At 46.6% G+C, this 20,386-nt stretch overlaps 1 protein-coding gene across 3 annotated transcripts in view; it reads left to right on the top strand.

The window, feature by feature from the left end:
• Window positions 1-17,342, top strand: part of RAB11FIP1 (RAB11 family interacting protein 1) — a 40,880-nt gene extending 23,538 nt beyond the window's left edge. Inside the window, exons 3-6 of one of the 3 annotated variants that reach the window (NM_001002814.3) lie at window positions 638-1,445; window positions 2,781-4,682; window positions 5,432-5,540; window positions 12,847-17,342. In NM_001002814.3, coding sequence (NP_001002814.2) covers window positions 638-1,445; window positions 2,781-4,682; window positions 5,432-5,540; window positions 12,847-13,065 — 3,038 coding nt within the window. In that variant the 3' untranslated portion in view covers window positions 13,066-17,342. Of the gene's footprint in view, window positions 1-637; window positions 1,446-2,780; window positions 4,687-5,431; window positions 5,541-12,846 lie in introns of those variants that run through there. The other 2 variants (NM_025151.5, XM_017013869.2) reach the window with 2 other exon arrangements.
• The last annotated feature ends 3,044 nt before the right edge of the window (window positions 17,343-20,386 follow it).

The raw sequence follows: 20,386 nt of genomic DNA, 5'->3' as shown, positions 1-20,386 counted from the left end.
GCCTCCCAAAGTGCTGGGATTATACCCTCTGGTTTCTAAGAATGTATAAATTCCTTTTCCAGAGTTCCTGGCTCTATAAATGATGTCCACTAGTACAAGCTTTTAGAGCTAACAGAATGAGTGTCTTCCAAGTTTTTTTTTTCTTTTTTTTAAGGGTAAAACCATGGAACCTTATGGTAATTCTGATATTTCATTAATTCATCAGGTAGTTATTGAGTTCCTGTGATGTGCTCAACCCTCGTGGGATATAGCCTTATCAGAAGCCAAGGAATCTGCTTCCTTTAGCTCTGAGTTAATTATGTATTTTGAACTTCAATTTCAATGTCTAAATCCCTCCCATTGGCCGGATTCTGCTACTCTACCAAGAGTGCTGCCCTTTTCATTGGTTTAACCCAGAGTTTCTCAACCTCAGCACTGTGGACAGTTTAGACTAGACAGGCCTTTGTCGTGGGGGGCTGTGCTATACGTTGTAAGATGTTCAGTATCATCCTTGTCCTCTACCTGCTGGATACGAATAGCAGCACACCCCCTCCAAGTTGTGGCAACCAGAAATGTATCCAGACGTTGACAGATGCCCCTACACTGCAAACCACCCGTTTAACATCTTATCCCCTTTCTGTTCTTTTTCTTCCCAAAGTCATGTCTCACAAGAGAACAGCGAGTACGGATCTTAAGCAACTGAACCAGGTCAACTTTACCCTTCCCAAGAAGGAAGGACTTTCCTTTCTTGGTGGCCTTCGGTCTAAGAATGATGTCCTTTCCCGCTCTAATGTCTGCATCAATGGGAACCATGTTTACCTGGAGCAGCCAGAAGCCAAGGGTGAGATCAAGGATAGCAGCCCGTCCTCCTCCCCATCCCCCAAGGGCTTCAGAAAGAAGCATTTGTTCTCTTCTACAGAGAACCTGGCGGCTGGGTCTTGGAAGGAGCCTGCTGAAGGAGGTGGGCTGTCTTCTGACAGGCAGCTCTCCGAATCTTCCACCAAGGACTCCTTGAAGTCTATGACCCTGCCGTCCTACCGACCTGCCCCACTGGTCAGTGGGGACCTCAGGGAAAACATGGCCCCCGCAAACTCAGAGGCCACAAAAGAAGCTAAGGAGAGCAAGAAGCCAGAGAGCAGGAGGTCCTCTTTGCTGTCTCTGATGACGGGGAAGAAGGATGTGGCTAAGGGCAGTGAAGGTGAAAACCCTCTCACGGTCCCAGGGAGGGAGAAGGAAGGCATGCTGATGGGGGTTAAGCCGGGGGAGGACGCATCGGGGCCTGCTGAAGACCTTGTGAGAAGATCTGAGAAAGATACTGCAGCTGTTGTCTCCAGACAGGGCAGCTCCCTGAACCTCTTTGAAGATGTGCAGATCACAGAACCAGAAGCTGAGCCAGAGTCCAAGTCTGAACCGAGACCTCCAATTTCCTCTCCGAGGGCTCCCCAGACCAGAGCTGTCAAGCCCCGGTGAGTTTTGGCTCTTCTCGTGCAGGGCATTTCTGCCTTGCCATTGGTGGTTTTCAGGCTTACGTTAGACCAGCTCTTGTGGGTCCCATGATATCATAGTACCCATATATGCCAAAGGTTTGCTGGTCTAAATTATTTTTTTAACCAGTCCCTACTGCCAGCCTGGCCTGCCCTGTATAAATTGCAGTGATGTTTCCCAGCTCAGAGCTACTGCCCAGCAGGCATGGTCTGTCCTTTCAGTCAGCTTATCAGATCTCAGTGGAACGCAGTGGTTTGTAGCAGATTGTGGGTGTTGCAAGTTGGGAATACTGAGTTTGGGTTGTAGTGTATGCAGAACCTGTGTTTTCGAAGTTCTTATCTCACATTTCCCTTTGAGCCAGATGTTATCCTGCCTCCTTGCCTTTTGGCATTGGTTTCTGGTATGAGAGACCCTCGGTCCTCTCTCAAGTGACAGTGACGGTTCTTTGTGTCCACTCTGCCCCTTGTTGTAAGAGCCGGCATAAGCCTTGGGGACTGGCCTTGGGGACTTCTGCTTTTCTGTGTGATCACATTCATACTGACAATATTTCTGCGGTCTGGGGAGTGAGATTTTTTTTTTTAGAGATTCTGCTTACTTTGACATGCACACACACACACACACACATATACACACACATACACACTGTTCCTCTTAAACTTATCTGTGCCTGTTGCTTTGTGTTACATCTTTAACCACTTTAAACCTTTTAGGTGCATTTTGTCCTGTAATAATCAAATGCTCGGGCCTTGTGTTAATCACCACAAGAAACCAGAGGCTATTGCTTTACCGGGATCTTTTCATTTCTATTGCAACAGACTTTTGTGTGACGGATCTGCTTGGTTATAAAAGTGTCTGTTGTGTATGTTAAGTGTTAGTGTTCCTTTTTTTTTTTGAGACAGTCTCCCTCTATCGCCCAGGCTGGAGTGCAGTGGCACGATCTCAACTCACTGCAACCTCCACCTCCCAGGTTCAAGCAGTTCTCCTGCCTCAGCCTCCCGAGTAGCTGGGACTACAGGTGCACACCACCACACCCGGCTAATTTTTGCATTTTTCAGTAGAGATGAGGTTTCACCATGTTGGCTGGGCTGGTCTTGAACTCCTGACTTCAGGTGATCCGCCTGCCTCGGCCTCCCACAGTGCTGGGATTACAGGCGTGAGCCACCGCGCCCGGCTAGCGTTCCTTTTTTAACTTCTTAAGGTACTGCCCCACGTGTAAAGACGTTCTCCCCTGGTGAATGACTTGTTTTTGTGTATTTTCTTTGTCTCTCGTGATGCATCTGCACTGACCTGCAGATTTTATTTTGTCCTTTTTGCAGACTGGAAGTGTCTCCAGAGGCGCAACCCACAGCCAGGCTTCCTTCCCCTACTGACTCCCCTTCCTCTCTTCCTCCTCTTCCTTCTAGCTCTGGCCAGGCATCTGTCCCCTCTGAATTGGGACATGGTGCAGACACACAGTCCTCTGAGAGTCCTTCTGTCTTCTCCTCTCTCTCATCTCCCATAGCAGCTCCCATTTCCACATCCACTCCAATTGAAAGCTGGCCTCTCGTAGACAGGGGCCAGGCCAAGTCTGAAGGACCACCCTTGCTCCCTAAGGCAGAGTTGCAAACTGAGAGTTTAACACCGGTTCCAAATTCTGGTTCTTCTGCCCTGGGATCACTTTTCAAACAGCCATCCTTTCCAGCAAATAAAGGGACAGAAGATTCTCTGATGGGCAGGACCCGTGAGACAGGCACAGAGAAGAACACCAGCAGCCTTGAGTTGGAGGAGTCTCTCCCAGAGCAGCCTGAAACAGGGCGACAAGAGGAAGAACTTCCGAGATTCCCCTGCAAAAAACAAGACTACAGCCCATCATCTGGAGAAGCCCAGGAAGTACCGTTTGCCCTTTCACTCAGCAGTGATGGAGCTGTGAGCCCTGTTGGGGAGCTTGCAGCAGGAGGAGACAGAGACTTGGAGAGTCAGGCTGGGTCTCTTGTGGAGAGCAAAGCCAGGGATGCAGCTGAAGAAGTGGCGCCCCCTCTTCCCATGGGAGCATCAGTCCCTTCCATTGATTCCATGATGCGGAAGCTGGAAGAGATGGGTCTGAACCTCCGCAAGGACCAGAAGAAAACCAAGAAGCGTGTGTCATTTTCTGAGCAGCTCTTCACGGAAGAGGCAGTGGCGGGGGCTGCCTTGCTGGTGGAAGGACACAGCAGTTGTCCCCAGGAGCTGAACCCTGCATGGTCTGTTGCTGGAAACGCGTCTGACGGAGAGCCTCCTGAGTCTCCCCACGCAGAGGACTCAGAAAGGGAATCGGTGACCACACCTGGGCCAGCGACGTGTGGTGCGCCAGCCTCCCCAGCGGATCACCTCCTCCTCCCCTCCCAGGAGGAGAGTTTCTCCGAAGTCCCCATGAGTGAAGCAAGCTCAGCGAAAGACACTCCACTCTTTAGGATGGAGGGAGAGGATGCCCTTGTGACTCAGTATCAGAGCAAAGCCAGTGACCACGAAGGTTTATTGTCTGACCCCTTGAGTGACCTTCAGTTGGTCTCAGATTTTAAATCTCCAATCATGGCCGATCTGAACTTAAGCCTTCCTTCCATTCCTGAAGTCGCATCGGATGATGAAAGAATAGATCAGGTTGAAGATGACGGAGATCAGGTTGAAGATGATGGAGAGACAGCAAAGTCGTCAACTCTGGACATAGGAGCTTTGTCCTTGGGCTTGGTAGTCCCCTGTCCTGAGAGGGGAAAGGGGCCCAGTGGCGAGGCAGATAGGTTGGTACTGGGGGAGGGCCTGTGTGATTTCAGGCTGCAAGCACCCCAGGCATCTGTGACAGCTCCTTCAGAGCAGACCACAGAGTTCGGAATTCACAAACCACATCTTGGCAAGAGCTCAAGCTTGGATAAACAGCTGCCAGGCCCCAGTGGTGGTGAGGAAGAAAAACCGATGGGAAATGGGAGTCCAAGCCCGCCTCCTGGCACATCCCTGGACAATCCTGTACCCAGCCCCTCCCCTTCTGAGATCTTTCCTGTCACACACTCTTTCCCCAGCTCTGCACATTCTGACACTCACCACACCAGCACAGCAGAATCTCAAAAAAAAGCCACAGCAGAGGGCTCCGCTGGTAGAGTTGAAAATTTTGGCAAGAGGAAGCCACTCCTCCAGGCCTGGGTCTCACCCTCGGAGACACATCCAGTCTCAGCTCAGCCAGGCGCTGGAACTGGGTCAGCCAAGCACAGGTGAGAGATGGGGGAGATTGTCTATGTAAATGTGAGCAATGTCCCCCTTTGCTTCCTACCTGCAGAGGTTACGGCTTTCTAACCACACAGACGTCTGATGTGACAACCCACCTGTCACTGTCCTGCTGGTAGGGCTGCCCCTTGTGGTGGTAATACCTCAAGACACTGCTGCGTTTATAGCAAGAACATAATAGTAGTCTGTAAATATAGCTTAGGAATTGTTCTGCACGGTCAGATTTGGAGCTCGCACATTGCAGAAACGCAATGCCACCAGTATCTTAACTGTCTCAGAACTAACTGGCATTGAGTGGTAGTAGTATCTAGCAGTGTCAAAAACTTCTTCAAGCACTCCCCAACGTGAAGCTTGTATGTTTGTTTTGAGCTGTCTTTACTGTGGAGGGACAGAAGCCTCTGCAGAGTTTTACAGTGAATGCCTAGGCTCTAGTTGACTTAAAAAAATAAGAGACTGCCTTTAATGTTCTGATGTTTGTAACAAGACCAAGGGTCCCGTGAAGATATCAGGACATCTGGACAAGGACATGCTTTCCTGGCTTGCATGTGGCAGCCCTGTCCTGACTGCTTTTGTTTCCACAGGAACTGAGACATTGGAGTGCTTTGGCCCAGAGATGAGGGCAGCATGTGACCCACCTGCCCCTTGTCTGGCTTACTGGCTGCCGTCTTTGCAGTGGGCAGTTGCTCAGTTTTGCCATGACCGGAGGGTCTAAAGATCCTTTTCCCCTTCTCTTTAGACTTCATCCTGTGAAGCCAATGAATGCAATGGCCACCAAGGTTGCTAACTGCAGCTTGGGAACTGCCACCATCATCAGTGAGAACTTGAACAATGAGGTCATGATGAAGGTATGTCCTCTGAGAAGCTGGTGTGTTCGTTAGGGATTGACAGAACACCCGTTTCCATAGTCACCATCGTATACCTCTCCCTGGGCAGCCGGTGGTGCCAGGAACACTTAGTCATACATCTTGAGTCTTTGAGTAAACTTTGGAAGCCCCCAGACATTCCATTGGATAATTACTTTATTCCCTTATACTTGTTTAGTTATTGTTAATTTTTTTTTTTTGTCTCAAGCAACATGATTGACACTGGCCCTTCTTTTTTAAAAAAATTATTTAAAAATTTTCCTTCTTAATAGAGATGGGGTCTTGCTATGTTGCCTAGGCTGGTCTTGAAATCCTGGGCTCAAGTGATCCTCCCACCTTGGCCTCCCAAAGTGCTGGGATTATAGGCGTGAACCACCACACCCAGTCTGGCCCATTCAGGTCAGGTATTTTCTTTTTCCCTCATGTTTCCTTTCCTTTGGCAAGAATGTAAAATTCTGATAATTGCAATCATTGCATAGATATACTTTTTTGGTAACATTATTTTGAAATAATTTCAAATGTTAAAAAAAAGTTGCAGGAACAGTACAAAGAGCTCCTACAAACCCTTCCTCCCAGTTCTCTAGTGGTTAACATTTGACCACATTTGCCCATCAGTCTCATCCTCTCTGCTTCCTCTCCCCAACCTTCTCTCTTTCTGGATATACACACGCAGGTGTATGCATAATTTTTTTTAAAAATCATTTGGAAGTAAGTTGTGTACCTCATGTTCCTTTTAACCCTAAATACTTAACTATGTAATTCCTAACAGTAAGGACATTTATTAAAATCAGGGAACTTTTTCTTTTTTTTGAGATGGCGTCTCACTCTGTCACCCAGGCTGGAGTGCAGTGGTGCAATCTCGGCTCACTGCAACCTCCCCCTCCTGGGTTTAAGCGATTCTCCTGCCTCAGCCTCCCAAGTAGCTGGGACTGTAGGTGCGCGCCACCATGCCCGGCTAATTTTTGTATTTTTAGTAGAGACAGGATTTTGCTATGTTGGCCACGCTCATCTCGAACTCCTGACCTCAGGTGATCCACCTGCCTTGGCCCCTCAAAGTGCTGGGATTACAGGGATGAGCCCCTGCGCCCGGCCTACCTCATGCTCCTTTTACCCCTAAATACTCCTAACAGTAAGGACATTCATCAAAATCAGGAATTTTTTTTTTTTTTTTTTTGATACAGGATCTCATTCTGTTGCCCAAGCTGGAGTGGAGTGGCATGATCACGGCTCATCATAGCCTCGACCTCCTGGGCCCAATCAATCCTCTCACCTCAGCCTCCCAAGTAGCTGGGACTACAGGCGAGCACCACCATGCCCAGCTAATTTATGTATTTTTTGTAGAGATGAGGTTTCATCATGTTGCTCAGGCTGGTCTTGAACTCCTGGGCTCAAGTGATCCACCTGCTTTGGGCTCCCAAAGTGCTGGGATACAGGTGTGAGGCAAGATGCACAGCCTGTTTTCTGTTTTTCAGTATGAATTAATACTATAGTCAACAATTTCCTATATGGAATTTTTTCTTCTCCTTTAGATTTTTTCCTTAAGGTAAATTTCCAGGAAGTATCTTGCTCATTTGGAGGGTCTCTAAAATTATGGGCTAATATTAAAAAACAACTCCCCACAAAACAAAACCAGCCTCCCAGATGAACTCTGCCTAGGATTGTCTTCATCCTGCTCTTTCTGGTTCTAGAATCTGAAGGATTTAGAATACTGCCTTGCTGCAAATCCCTGGTCTTCAACTCATTATCTGGACTAGAAGAGAATGATTTACTGAGGGATTGGTGACCTTTAGTGGGCAAGGATATATTGTATTTCAAATATGTAGAGAGGGACTTCCCAACTGACACTGGGAACTGCAGTCTATAGAAATAAACTTTGTTTTTATTTTAGTTCAGAGCAGCTAAAATTTCATTCCATCATATATTTTACAGTCCCATGGACTCCGGATATTGAATAGTTTTTTTTCTTTTTTTTTTTTTTTGAGATGGAGTTTTGCTCTTATCGCCTAGGATGGAGTGCAATGGCGCCATCTTGGCTCACCGCAACCTCCACCTCCCGGGTTCAAGGGATTCTCCCACCTCAGCCTCCAGAGTAGCTGGTATTACAGGCACCCGCCACCATGCCTAGCTAATTTTTATATTTTTAGTAGAGACGGGGTTTTGCCATGTTAGCCAGGCTGGTCTCGAACTCCTGACCTCAGGTGATCCACCCGCCTCAGCCTCCAAAAGTGCTGGGATTACAGGCGTGAGCCACCGCGCCCAGCCTTGTTTTGTTTTTTAATGGAGATGGGGTCTTGCTCTATTGCCTAGGCTGGCGGGCAATGGCTATTCACAGGTGCAATCATAGCTCATCGCAGCCTCGAACTCCTGGGCTCAAGTGATCGTCCTACCTCAGCCTCCCAAGTAGCGGGGACTACAGATGTGCCACCATGCTTGACTGAAAGTGTTTTTCAAGTGCTGGGTACTTGTTATTCCCTCTGGCTTCACTGCATGTCTACCAGTAAGAGCTGGGATAAAGGTTTACAGGAAGCTGGAGGTCCAAGTTTTTGGTAAAAGAAGAGAAGTAATCATAACTGATGATTGCTGAAAACAAGTCAGCATCTTCTTGCTGCCTTGCCCCACTTTTTTCTTCCTTCCTTCCTTCCTTCTTTCCTTCTTTCCCTCCCTCCCTTCCTTCCTTCCTTTTTTTTTTCTTTTTTGATGGATTTTCGCTCTGGTTGATCAGGCTGGAGTGCAATGGTACGGTATCAGCTCACTGCAACCTCTACCTCCCAGGTTCAAGCAATTCTTATGCCTCAGCCTCCCAGGTAGCTGGGATTACAGGCATGCACCACCACACCCAGCTAATTTTTTTGTATTTTTAATAGAGACGGGGTTCTACCATGTCGGTCAGGCTGGTCTTGAACTCCTGACCTCAGGTGATCCACCCACCTCGGCCTCCCAAAGTGTTGGGATTACAGGTGTGAGCCACTGCGCCCGGACCCCACTCTTTCTTTGTAGGACACATTGACAGGGCAGGTGGTAAGCATTGGTCTCAAAATTATCAGCCACAGCCAGAATTGTGTACCTACTACATTTCGGCCCTAGCCTAAAAATGTACAATATGTCAACCAGCTTGCCTGGCTTCTGTGTGTTGCAGATAGATGAGGCAGCACTTGTCTTCCTGGAATTAATGATATTTATCAGGAAATGGGATAAAAGGACAGCATAAAGGGACAGCAATGAAAATTGGGGTCATTCAGCAGCTTCCCATCCATCTTCCTTTTACTGTGGAATGCAGTGTGGCTCCAAAGAGAAACAAACACCTTGTTTCTGGGAAGTTAGCAAGACCTTTGGCTCCCATTTTATTTCCTCTTCAAAGCTCATTTAATTCAAGGGCTTATCTACTGGCCCTAAGAGAATAACTTAGCTCAAAACAAAGGCAACTGCTGCTTATTTTGCTCATGATTTGTAAGCCTGGCTGCCACCCCGCTGCCTGCCTGCAACACATCTCTTGGTTCTGGACCATGCCTAGTAAACATTCTGGGTAAATACGGGACGTTTCCTGGAGGCTCTGCTATTGGCCTGCCACGTGATAGATGCTTTGTGTTAAGGCACAAGACAGTATTTATAAAGATACCTACTCTTTGGAATGTTGCAAAGTAAGAGAGGTTTAAGGGAAAGAAATTGCATAGCTAAAGTTATGAAATGCTAGCTGGATCATTACTACAGTGTTTTTTTTTTTTCTTTTCTTGGTTGTTGTTTTAGCGCCTCCATCCTTTATAGATGATTTATAACTGGGAGAGTATTATTTACCCAGGTGGCTTTAACATTTCCGTTTTAAAATAGTAAAGCCAACTAGATCCAAAAATCATCTGTGATATGGAAAAAGTTGGATGTACATTTGAGTGTATGTCATTATCACAACTATGTAAAAGGAAAAGTCCAGGGTAAGAATCCTGGTGAGAAATACATGACAATGGGCACCATTCTTTCTTGCATTTGTGGGTATTTTCTCTGTGCTTCTTCTTCTCCAAGGCCATTACTCACTTTTTATGATGCTGGCTTATTTATAATTTTTTTTTTTTTTTGAGATGGGGTCTCGCACTGTTGCCCATGCTGGAGTGCAGTGGCACGATCTTGGCTCACTGCAACCTCCGCCTCCCGAGTTCAAGCGATTCTCCTGCCTCAGCCTCCCGAGTAGCTGGGACTACAGGTGCCCGCCACCATGCCTGGATAATTTTTTGTATTTTTAGTAGAGAAGAGGTTTCACCATGTTGGCCAGGTTGGTCTCAAACTCCTGACCTCATGATCCGCCCACTTCAGCCTCCCAAAGTGCTGGGATTACAGATGTGAGCCACCATGCCTGGCCCTGTTTTATAATTTTTAAATATTGCAAAACTAGGCTCTTCTAATGATTTTCAAGTCCTTTATATCCTTTTTCCCTTTCAATTACAGAATCCAAATTAAATAGCTGTTTGACGGTTCGTATGAAGTACCTTAAGTGTGTACACATTTTCAATTCTAGGCATTTATCTTAAGGAAGTACTTAGAGATATGGCCAAAGATTTATGTTCGTGCATTTTGATAAAAATGTTATATATAATTGTACAAATTGAAAACAACATAAATATCCAGCAATAGAGGAATAGTTAAAATATAATGAGATTTTAAGCATCCATTAGAAAAGCAAGTTTTGCTAAAATGTTATGATGGAAAAAATGCTTATTAAATAGTAAAAAGCTGTAAAACTATTATTTTGTATGAGGCTGACATTATAAAACATATCATCAAGAACCCCAGGAAGGCCGGGCTCAGTGGCTCATGCCTGTAATCCCAGCACTTTGGGAGGCTGAGGCAGGTGGATCACTTGAGGTCAGGAGTTCAAGACCAGCCTGGCCAACATGGTGGAACCCTGTCTCTACTAAAAATACAAAAATTAGCTGGATGTGGTGGCAGGTGCCTGTAATCCCAGCTACTCGGGAGGCTGAGGCAGGAGAAGCACTTGAACCTGGGAGGCAGAGGTTGCAGTGAGCCGAGATCGTGTCACTGCACTCCAGCCTGGGTGTCACAGTGAGAATCTGTCTCAAAAAAAGAAAAAAAAAAAAAAGAATCCCAGGAAAAATAAAGAGACCCAAATGTTAGGTGTTGGAATTAATTATATGACACCCTACAGGTGTCAGCCTCTGCATCCCTCTCTCTTTCAAACTCCATGCAGAGTATCTTATGTATTGAGACTTTTAAAAAATAAATAAATAAGATCCTTATATGACAGAGATATAATCTAAAATCCCTTGAGGACGTATTCTTTGCCATTATTTACAAAGGTGACTCTTTTTTCTTGATATAAAATGTAAGGCTGGGTGTGGTGGCTCATGCCTGTAGTCGCAGCATTTTGGGAGGCCAAGGTGGGAGGATCACTTGAGCTTGGGTTTGAGACCAGTCCAGGCAACATAGAGAGATCCCGTCTCTATGGGGAAAAAAAAAAAAAAAAGGCATTAAGTACATTCACATTGTTGTGTAATCAATCGCTAGGGCTCTTTTCCAGACTTGCGACTTTTCAATGAAATATTGTTTTGGAAGTCACATCTACAGTGACTGAGGTCCAGAGGAGGTGCATCGTGAATGCATGCCTTCAAAGTTTTAAAAAACAAAGATTAGGGGAGAAGCAGGTTTTGGAAAAGCAGTCCAGTGTCTCACCTCTAAATGTGCAGCCTGTGTGGGGTTGAACCCGCTCTGTCTATGGAAACGTTGGTGTTGTGTGTCTAAGTTAGTACCGCCATCATCTTGCTTTTGTTCCTAGCCAGGATGGGAGGGCTGGGATCCCTCCTTTGACTTCTGGCTCGTGTCCAGGCAGTTTGCGTCACTGACTGAACTGGGGCTCCTATCATGTCACTGAGGAACTAGTGTTGATTCTTGGAGAAGGTAGTCTCTTGGCCTTCCTGGTAGGCAGTGAAACCGTTAGACCCTCAGGGCAGTAAAGCTATTCCTGCCTCAGAGCTCTGCCAGCAAAATCATCTTGATTCTTTAAACATGTAAATCTCAGGCTACAGATTTCAGGAAAAGTCACTTTTTTTTCCTTACTGGGGACTTACACAGCATGTGACTTTTCATTTAAGCTTTACCTTACATCTCCTCCTGGTTCAAGCTGCTTGGGCTTGCAGGGGCCCCAGATCATAAATGCTGATAAAGCACAGTGACTCCGCAGGGTGTGTGCTCTCCTCGGGAGTGGAACACTCAGCTCTGGGACAGGCCGCTGTGTACCCAAGGGCGTGCCTAGACGGCCACGGGTGAGGACGGGGCATGGTGGCACCTGGCTCTGACTCCGCATATTTCTCGAGTATGAAGTGATGTGAAGTGGGGTCCCTGGGTGTCCTCTGCATCCACCTGCTCATTGAGTCCTTCTGAGCGCAGCTTTGGCAGGAGCAGACAGTCTGGGCTGGACCTCGACCTGCTGCCCTGGAAAGAAAGCCCTTGCTCCCTGCACTTGCTGTCACAGCTGTGTCTTCCTGGGCCCCCTCTGGCTTGGGAGTCGTCACCAGCTCTGCACTGGTGTTTGGTTGTGTGAGCTCCTAGTGTTCCCAAAGGAGTGAGCACTCATTTGGAGAACTGAGTCCTCCCATGATGGCACTGCTTAAAATCCAAACCCAGAGTCAAGTCCAGAGGTCCTCGACCTGTGAGGCAAGTATGGTTTTTACATTTTTAAAAGTTCATACAACAAAATAAAACAAAACAAACAGACCAAAAAACCAAGGAAGAACATGTTAACAAAGGCTGTCTGTGGCCCGCAAAGGCTCAAATATGTGCTATCTGGCCCTTTCCAGAAGACTTCATCAGTCAACAACCTGTTTTCACTGTAAATTGAAAACGGATTCCCTGGCTGGGCACGGTGGCTCATGCCTGTAATCCCAGCACTTTGGGAGGCTGAGGCAGGCGGATCACCTGGGGTCAGGAGTTCAAGACCAGCCTGGCCAACATGGTGAAACCTTGTGCCTACTAAAAAAATACAAAAATTAGTCAGGCATGGTGGTGCATGCCTATAGTCCTAGCTACTCAGGAGGCTGAGGTGGGAGAATCACTTGAACCCAGGAGGCGGAGGTTGCAGTGAGCTGAGATCGCGCCACTGCACTCCAGGCTGGGTGACAGAGTGAAACTCAGTCTCAAAAAGAAAGAAAGAAAGAAAGAAAGAAAATGGATTCCCAAGAGACCCAGATCACTAGTCACTTTTTCCTCCTTTGTACTTCTTTTAGGTTTTAGGTTTCTGTGCTAATTTTATAACTCCTTTTTCCCAACTATTTCCCCCCCTCCAAAGAAATACAGCCCCTCGGACCCTGCATTTGCATATGCGCAGCTGACCCACGATGAGCTGATTCAGCTGGTCCTCAAACAGAAGGAAACGATAAGCAAGAAGGAGTTCCAGGTCCGCGAGCTGGAAGACTACATTGACAACCTGCTTGTCAGGGTCATGGAAGAAACCCCCAATATCCTCCGCATCCCGACTCAGGTTGGCAAAAAAGCAGGAAAGATGTAAATCAGCAGAAAAAAAACACCGAGACGTTTCTGTGACTTCACTTTCACCTGCTCCAGGGGTCAAGGACTTGCCTTGCCTGATAACCAGCCAGCAGGCTCCGAATCACCATCTCCCTCACATGTTATCCGGCAAGAGTGAATTCTACCAATGGAAGCCAGGTTAATGATTACAATTAATCTTTTACTGTACATTCCCAAGGCTTTAGTTTTAAATGCCACTGTGCCTTTAACAAGGTTGTAAATATTTTATGCCCACCAGAGATGTGGTCATAAGATCTGATCCTGAGCCAGAGATTCAGATGGCACAGGAAGTATTCATGTATTTTAACACTGGGGTTTTCTTTCTTTCATACTGAGATTTTTTTTCAGTATGTATCCTCCAGCTCTTAAAGCTTACCTGAGAAAGCTTTAAATGAGAAAAGGACCATGCGATTGGTGCTGTGTTACATACACATACTTTCTTGGCTTCTGAGTAGCTCAGGTGTGGCTTTTGGCTGCAGATGTTAAATTTTGATACCATGTAAACCTACCCAGCTTCTCAGACTTGGGTCTTGTTTTTTGATGGGAACAGAGGTGTTTAGAGAAAGCCTCTGAGTATGCCTTTCAGATTTTGAACAAGCGGCCTTTTCTAAACATCGACTTCTACTACTCTCTAGCCTTAAAATACCTTCTGCTTAGATCCAGGGCCCTTCTACTGGAGATAGGAAAAGTAGAATTCAGGAATTAAAAGAATTACTCTTTATTCAATTTGAGGAACTTGGTGAAAGCCCCTCCTCTTATGACAGCCAGGTTCCTGCTGGCTAGACCAGCCTATTCAGCGCTTTGCTAGGGGATTGGGTGGTCCACGCACTCGCTAATACAGTTCTCCAGGTGTGGAATGATGTCAATACGATTGCTTGGCCTTTTCCCCCTGTGCCTTTGCTCGGTGCTCTGGTTTCCTCAGCAACACTCCTTGTAAGGGGCAGAGACAGGGTCCACCAACTCCCCAAGATGAAGAAGCCCCTTCAGGCCAGTCGTGGTGGCTCATGCCTGTAATCCCAGCACTTTGCAAGGCCGAGGAGGGTGGATCACTTGAGGTCAGGAGTTCGAGACCAGCCTGACCAACATGGCGAAACCCCATCTCTACTAAAAATACAAAAATTAGCTTGGCATGGTGGTGCGTGCCTGTAATCCCAGCTACTCGGGAGGCTGGGGCAGGAGAATTGCTTGAACTTGGGAGATGGAGGCTGCAGCGAGCCAAGATCGTGCCACTGCACTCCAGCCTGGGCAAGAGTTTTTTTAAGACTCTTAAAAAAAGAGCCTGGGCAATTTTTTTAAGACTCTGTCTTAAAAAAAACTAAAAAGAAAAAAAGAAGCCCCTTCACTCTACAGGGGACAGGAGACCATGGATTGGACCCCAAAGGGATTGAACTGCATCTGCATGTCTGTCCTTTGAACACTTTCTCTCCCTGCCCAAAAGGAAACCCAAATTATTTGTGGGATACTGGGGAAATTGTAGTGAAGGGCTTAATGTAGTTAATAAAAGTTAAAAGTCAGTAGAAAACAGGTGCCTCAGCCTTCAAATGGTTGCTTTTTTTCCATTTTCCCTCATGAATAGACTCACCAGCATTTTACCCCCTTGTTATAAAACTGTGCAGAGCAAGAAGATGATACTTATTTTTGAATTTGTATTTTTAAAACTAGATTTATAGACTTTTTTTTTTTTTAACTAGGGCACTTGCTTCCTTCTTAGCTAAAAGCACCAGCTGAGATTTTTCAGGTAATTTTGTTGTTACTCACTTAAGACTGGAATTAGAATGTTTCTGGTATTTCTCATTTTTTTCCCTGGCTATGATAGAATCTCATCTAATCTTGACATCTCTCCTAGGGGAAGAATATCACAGGCTAATAGCGTGGTTGGGGGTGAAGATGATAGCAGTTATTAAATCAGGAATCTCTTTTATGTGTGTCCTTGTTACATTGAGGTTAAGAGACAAAATCATTGGCAGTGCAATCTCTTTCCAGGATTTCGTTTGCTGTGGCATTGGTTATATCAGAGCACTTTAATCTGAAGGATGATACTGTAACTTGATTTATCTAATTAGCTTTTAATTATCTACAGCTATTTTATTTTATTTAATTCTCTCCTACAGTACTGGGACCACTGTAAACTTCTCAGATGACTTGTATTTTTGTAGTGCTATGAAATTTATTTACATACTTATAAAGAAAACTGTATGTTCACTTGAACTCTGAAAATGTACATGTATGGCTGGACGCGGTGGCTCACGCCTGTAATCCCAGCACTTTGGGAGGCTGAGGCGGGTGAATCACTTGATTGAGGTCAGGAGTTCGAGACCAGCCTGGCCAACATGGCAAAACCCCGTCTCTACTAAAAAATACAGAAATTAGCTGGGTGTGGTGGCAGACAGCTGTAATCTCAGCTGCTCGGGAGGCTGAGGCACAAGAATCGCTTGAGCCAGGGAGGTGGAGGTTGCAGTGAGCTGAGATCACATCATTGCACTCCAGCCTGGGCAACGGGCGAGACTCTGTCTCAAAAAAAAGAAAGAAAGAAAAGGTACATGTATATATTTGTCCTGCATTATGTTTTTTACTTGATATAAATGTATTTTTACTGTGATAGTCCAAGTGCCCTGGGGGGCAGGTGTGCTCTATGTGGTTCTTCTTCCATTGGAGAGCTGGCGTAGAGATCTGCAGTGTTCACAAGGATGTTGGTTTGGAGATGTCTGCTGCTAGGACCTGGGGTGTGTGACTCAGTCCATATGAGAGGGACATCTGGGTGGAGGAGTAAATTCCTGTGCTCTGAAATGCCACTTGGTAGCTCTGGACAATGAAGGACAATTGACTCAAGGGTGCCTGGCTTCTGCTGCTGCTGGGAAAAAATTCAGTTTATAGCATTCCTGCACCTCCCAAAGTAGATAACCTGGAGGTCATTCAGTTAACAACTGTCCCTGAGGACTCAGTTTTGGGGGAGGGGTTATCTGGGAGAAGCTTTAGCCTGTTCTGAGCCATTAGGAGACATTAGTGAATTGGAGCACTGGAGAATCCTACAAATGGCCTATGTCTCAGAAGAGCTGGGACCTCCTTCCAGCTGCTGCAGATGCTGACAGGCCCTGGGAGGCTGCTGTGCTCTGGAGAAGCTGGAGCAGCTCATTTCTTGGCCTAGCCTGGCTGCCTCAGAAAGAGCAGTCAGGACTTGAGGGAAGCATCAAATTCTATACCCATAAACTGCAGTTGGAAGTCAGCTTTTTGAAATGTCCAGCCTTTGCCCAATTGTTTCAGATCATCTCATGCCTCAGGCTTTGGCAGGTATCCTGCCCTCCATCTTATTCCAGTGTGTTCACCTCATCAAGGCAGCAGAGTGGATGAAGGAGTAAGTCTGCCCTTTGCCATACTGAACAGCTGTGGACCCCGATTGGTGAGGGCTCTGCATATGCCTGTATGAAGGAGATACAGGTGTGTGTGCACATGCCGGTATGAAGAAGACACAGGCATGTGCTTCTCAGTTTTGCTAACAGTGGGAGCTCAACGGGGCAGAGGGAGGAAGGTCCATGATGCTCAGCCACATACTGTAGAGAGAGGCAATTTAATGTTAAATGACGCACCATCCTCCCTCCCACCCTTCTCCCAGTCAACTTTTTTTCTTTTTCTAGAACTACTAATTATCTCTCAAGGCTGAAAAATTAATTGCCTTAGGTGGAGAACTTAATTCCTAGTATCCACCAAACTTAACTCCGTATCTCCATATGGTGTCTCCATATCTACTGTGTGAGCTACTTAACTGACGCCCTCTTCCTCCAACTGAAGGATCGCCCAACGTTTTTGGATTATAGAATTATTATTTCCTGCTTTCTTTCTTTGGGACTTTTGAATTTCTTTGGTTTCGTTTTTAAGAAGTAACCCAACATTTCCTACAACACTAAATAAAATGGTACTTACCTTTCAAAGATTTGTGTCTGTAGTTTGGTATGGGTGCAATAAAAATTTATTTTGTCTTCCTGGAAAACCTCTCTTGGTGGGGGTGGGGGGATGACCAGTGTTTCTCATCCCATGAGGGTCTCTCACTGGGATTTCTGTTGCTGCCATCTTGCCTGGTTCCCAGGAGTCCCAAGGCCCTTTTTCTCAAAGAGGACGGACATGTCTGGTCCCTTCGGATGCACCCTTCATCTTGGCCTGAGGGACCATGGCACTGGCCAGAGAAACTGAGTTGGAACGTGCTGCCCCCTTTTCCTTTGCAGCCGGTACCCTTGGCTGAGCATTTGGACAGGGTCTTTCCTCAGTTCCCACCCCCACCACACACACAGGTTCCCACAGAGTGATGTCTTCACTTTGGGGGCATGAGTTGAATTCAGGCTGGGCTCAACTGCCCCATCTGGGAACCAGGTCCTTGTTCAGTTGACTTAGTTTGTCCATGTGTGAATAGAGGGTATTAGGGATGCACAGGAGTCTCCTGGAGTTCATCTCTCCAAACCCCAGGCCTTTCCCAAGGAGGTGAGAGGTGTGCCTGCCCCGCGAGCGGTGCACGTGGTCCACACTCCAAGGTCCCAGACCTCTTGGAATGGAAGTGATACCTTTGCTCTTAGAGATGAGTCACATTGTAGAGAGACAGAGGCAGGCGGTGCCTGTGAGACTCCTGGGCTGGGATGGGGGAGCTTCCCTGAAGGCCTCCCTGGTTTTGGTGGAGAGGCCTGGTGATTCCAAGTGGACATCGACTGCCATGTGTAGTGACATGAAGACACTTAATAAATTTTATTTTATTTATTAAATCTCTTAATAAAACAACCCTCTAAATGGAAGGTCTTCAAGGAAGGAAAGTTTAATTACACAAATGACCCCAACTTTTCTCTCTCAGATTTATTCCCCTTGCTTTGGAGTTCTGTTTGGTTCCTGCTATTGCCACCAAACCCAGCCCTCAGGGCCAGGCTATTATATTTTTCAAATTCCAGCCCAAGGAGGGAGACACAACCATCTTTTCTTTTGAGTCCCCTTAGCCCAGCAGCTAGTAATGGAAAGCTTTAAAAAAAAAACAAAAAACCAGGCCTGGCACAGTGACTCACTCCTGTAATCCCAGCACTTTGGGAGGCCAAGGCGGATGGATCACTGGAGGTCAGGAGTTCAAGACCAGCCTGGCCAACATGGTGAAACCCCGTCTCTACTAAAAATACAAAAATTAGCCGGGCATGGTGGTGGATGACTGTAATCCCAGCTACTTGGGAGGCTGAGGCAGGAGAATTGCTTGAACCCAGGAGGCAGAGCTTGCAGTGAGCCAAGATCATGCCATTGCACGCCAGCCTGGGTGACAGAGCAAGACTCTGTCTCAAAAAAAAAAAAAAAAAACAAGAAAATAAGGGAAATAATTATAGGATATATGAACAACATAAAAGGTGAACTTTCCCAAATCCAGAATTCTGAGTCGAAGTCAAGCCCCAAAGGTCTAGAGGCACCCAGTCACTCGGCTAGGTGGGCCCCAGTTGTTCTTAGGTGACCTGAGTTCCCTTGTGCTCCATTCTGGAGGAGCAATAGACGCTGTTCCCCTCCTCCACTCCCCTGTCTGCTCACTTACTCTAGATTTTTCTTTTTTTGAGATGAAGTCTCACTCTTGTCGCCCAGGCTGGTGTGTAATGTTGCAATCTCAGCTCACTGCAACCCCTGCCTCCCATGTTCAAGCGATTCTCCTGCCTCAGCCTCCTGAGTGGCTGGAATTACAGGCACCTGCCACCATGCCTGGCTAATTTTTCTATTTTTAGTAGAGATGGGGTTTCACCATGTTGGCCAGGTTGGTCTCTGAGGCCAGCTTGACCTCAGGCAATCCACCCGCCTCCGCCTCCCAAAGTGCTGGGATTACAAGCATGAGCCACCGCTCCCAGCCCTCACTCCAGATTTTTCTAAGTAACAGCATAACATGTTTGTTCTTGGAAAAGAAAAAAGTCCTAATTTCCTCACTACCAAGAGGTAACCACTGTAGTTTTGACTTGTCTCAGGATTTTTCCTCTCATGTAAATAGCCACACTTTACAAGGAAGATAGGATCACACCGTCTGTACTGTTTTGAACGTATCTCCACGACTTGGTAGCTGGCAGCTATGTGTGTTCTGCGACAAGGACTGATAGGATTCCCAGGAGAAACTTTCCTGGCTAACAATTCCCTTTGGCAAAAAAAAAAAAAAAAAAAAAAAGCTGCAGCAGTCACAAAGATAATCTAGGTCCCTTCCGGCCCAGGTTATAATCATAGCCACCTGTGGATCAAAGTGGGGACTTGCCGGGGACACCCTGCCCACTCCCAACCAGGAAAACAGTCACTTACCGGGCGTGGTTACCATTCTTTACTGGGGCCAGTGGTCAGCACGACAGCCGCCATTAGCCCTTGGACCCAGTCTCTCAACACAGGCAGCTTGCCCCTGGGCTGCTCTGCGGGTGTCAGCTTTTGGGCCCTGCAGTTTTCCCCTACTGGGACGTCATGAACTATCACTTCTGACTCGAAACTGGCTTCCTTGAGCCCTTTGAGGGCAGGGTTTCCCAATGCCAAAAAGCCTCCTAAGGGGATATGTCCTTACTCGGCCTTTTGACTTTCTATTACTTTACACAGAAACCTGTGTCTTGAGCCTGGGAAAGAATCGCCTTGGGGACATGATATGGCTCTCAGAGTTGAGAATAAGCTGCCTCTGTCCTTATGGACTGCTCACTTCAGGCTAAACCTTGACTGCAAAAGGAAGGCCTGCTTCTTGAAGCACTGAGGTGTACTATTTTTAATAATTCTCATTCAGGTCAATGTCTCCATCGTGCAGCTGGGCAAACAGACCCAGAGAGGCAGCAGCACTCTCATTTGCCTAAGTCACACTGTGAGTTGTTAAGAGAGGATTCGATCTTATAACCTGTCTGACTTGCAGGCCTAGAACAGGGGTCAGCAAACTACAGCCTGCCTCCTGTTTTTGTACAGCCTTTTCAAGTCAAGAATGGTTTTTACATTTTTTTTTTTAATGCTTCAAAAAAAGTCAGCTGGGTGCAGAGGCTCACGCCTGTAATCCCAGCACTTCGGAAGCTGAGGCACAATACTGTGAGCCCAGGAGTTTGAGTCCAGCCTGGGCAACATAGTGAGACCGCCCCCCACCACCATCTCTACAAAATAGAGAATAAAAAATGAATAAATTGGGCATGGTGCACATCTATAGTCCCAGCTTCTTGGGAGGCCAAGTAGGGAGGACTGCATGAGCCCAGGAGTTTAAGGCTGCAGGGAGCCTGGGTGACAGAGTAAGACCCTGTCTCCAAAAAATAAAGAAAACAACCAAAACAACAGTATTTCATGACACATACAAATTATATGGA

Source organism: Homo sapiens, chromosome 8, assembly GCF_000001405.40.
Source record: "Homo sapiens chromosome 8, GRCh38.p14 Primary Assembly".
Classification (NCBI taxonomy): Eukaryota; Metazoa; Chordata; class Mammalia; order Primates; family Hominidae; genus Homo; species Homo sapiens.
Note: the sequence above shows the minus strand (reverse complement) of the source record. Positions and strands in the feature narration are given on the sequence as shown.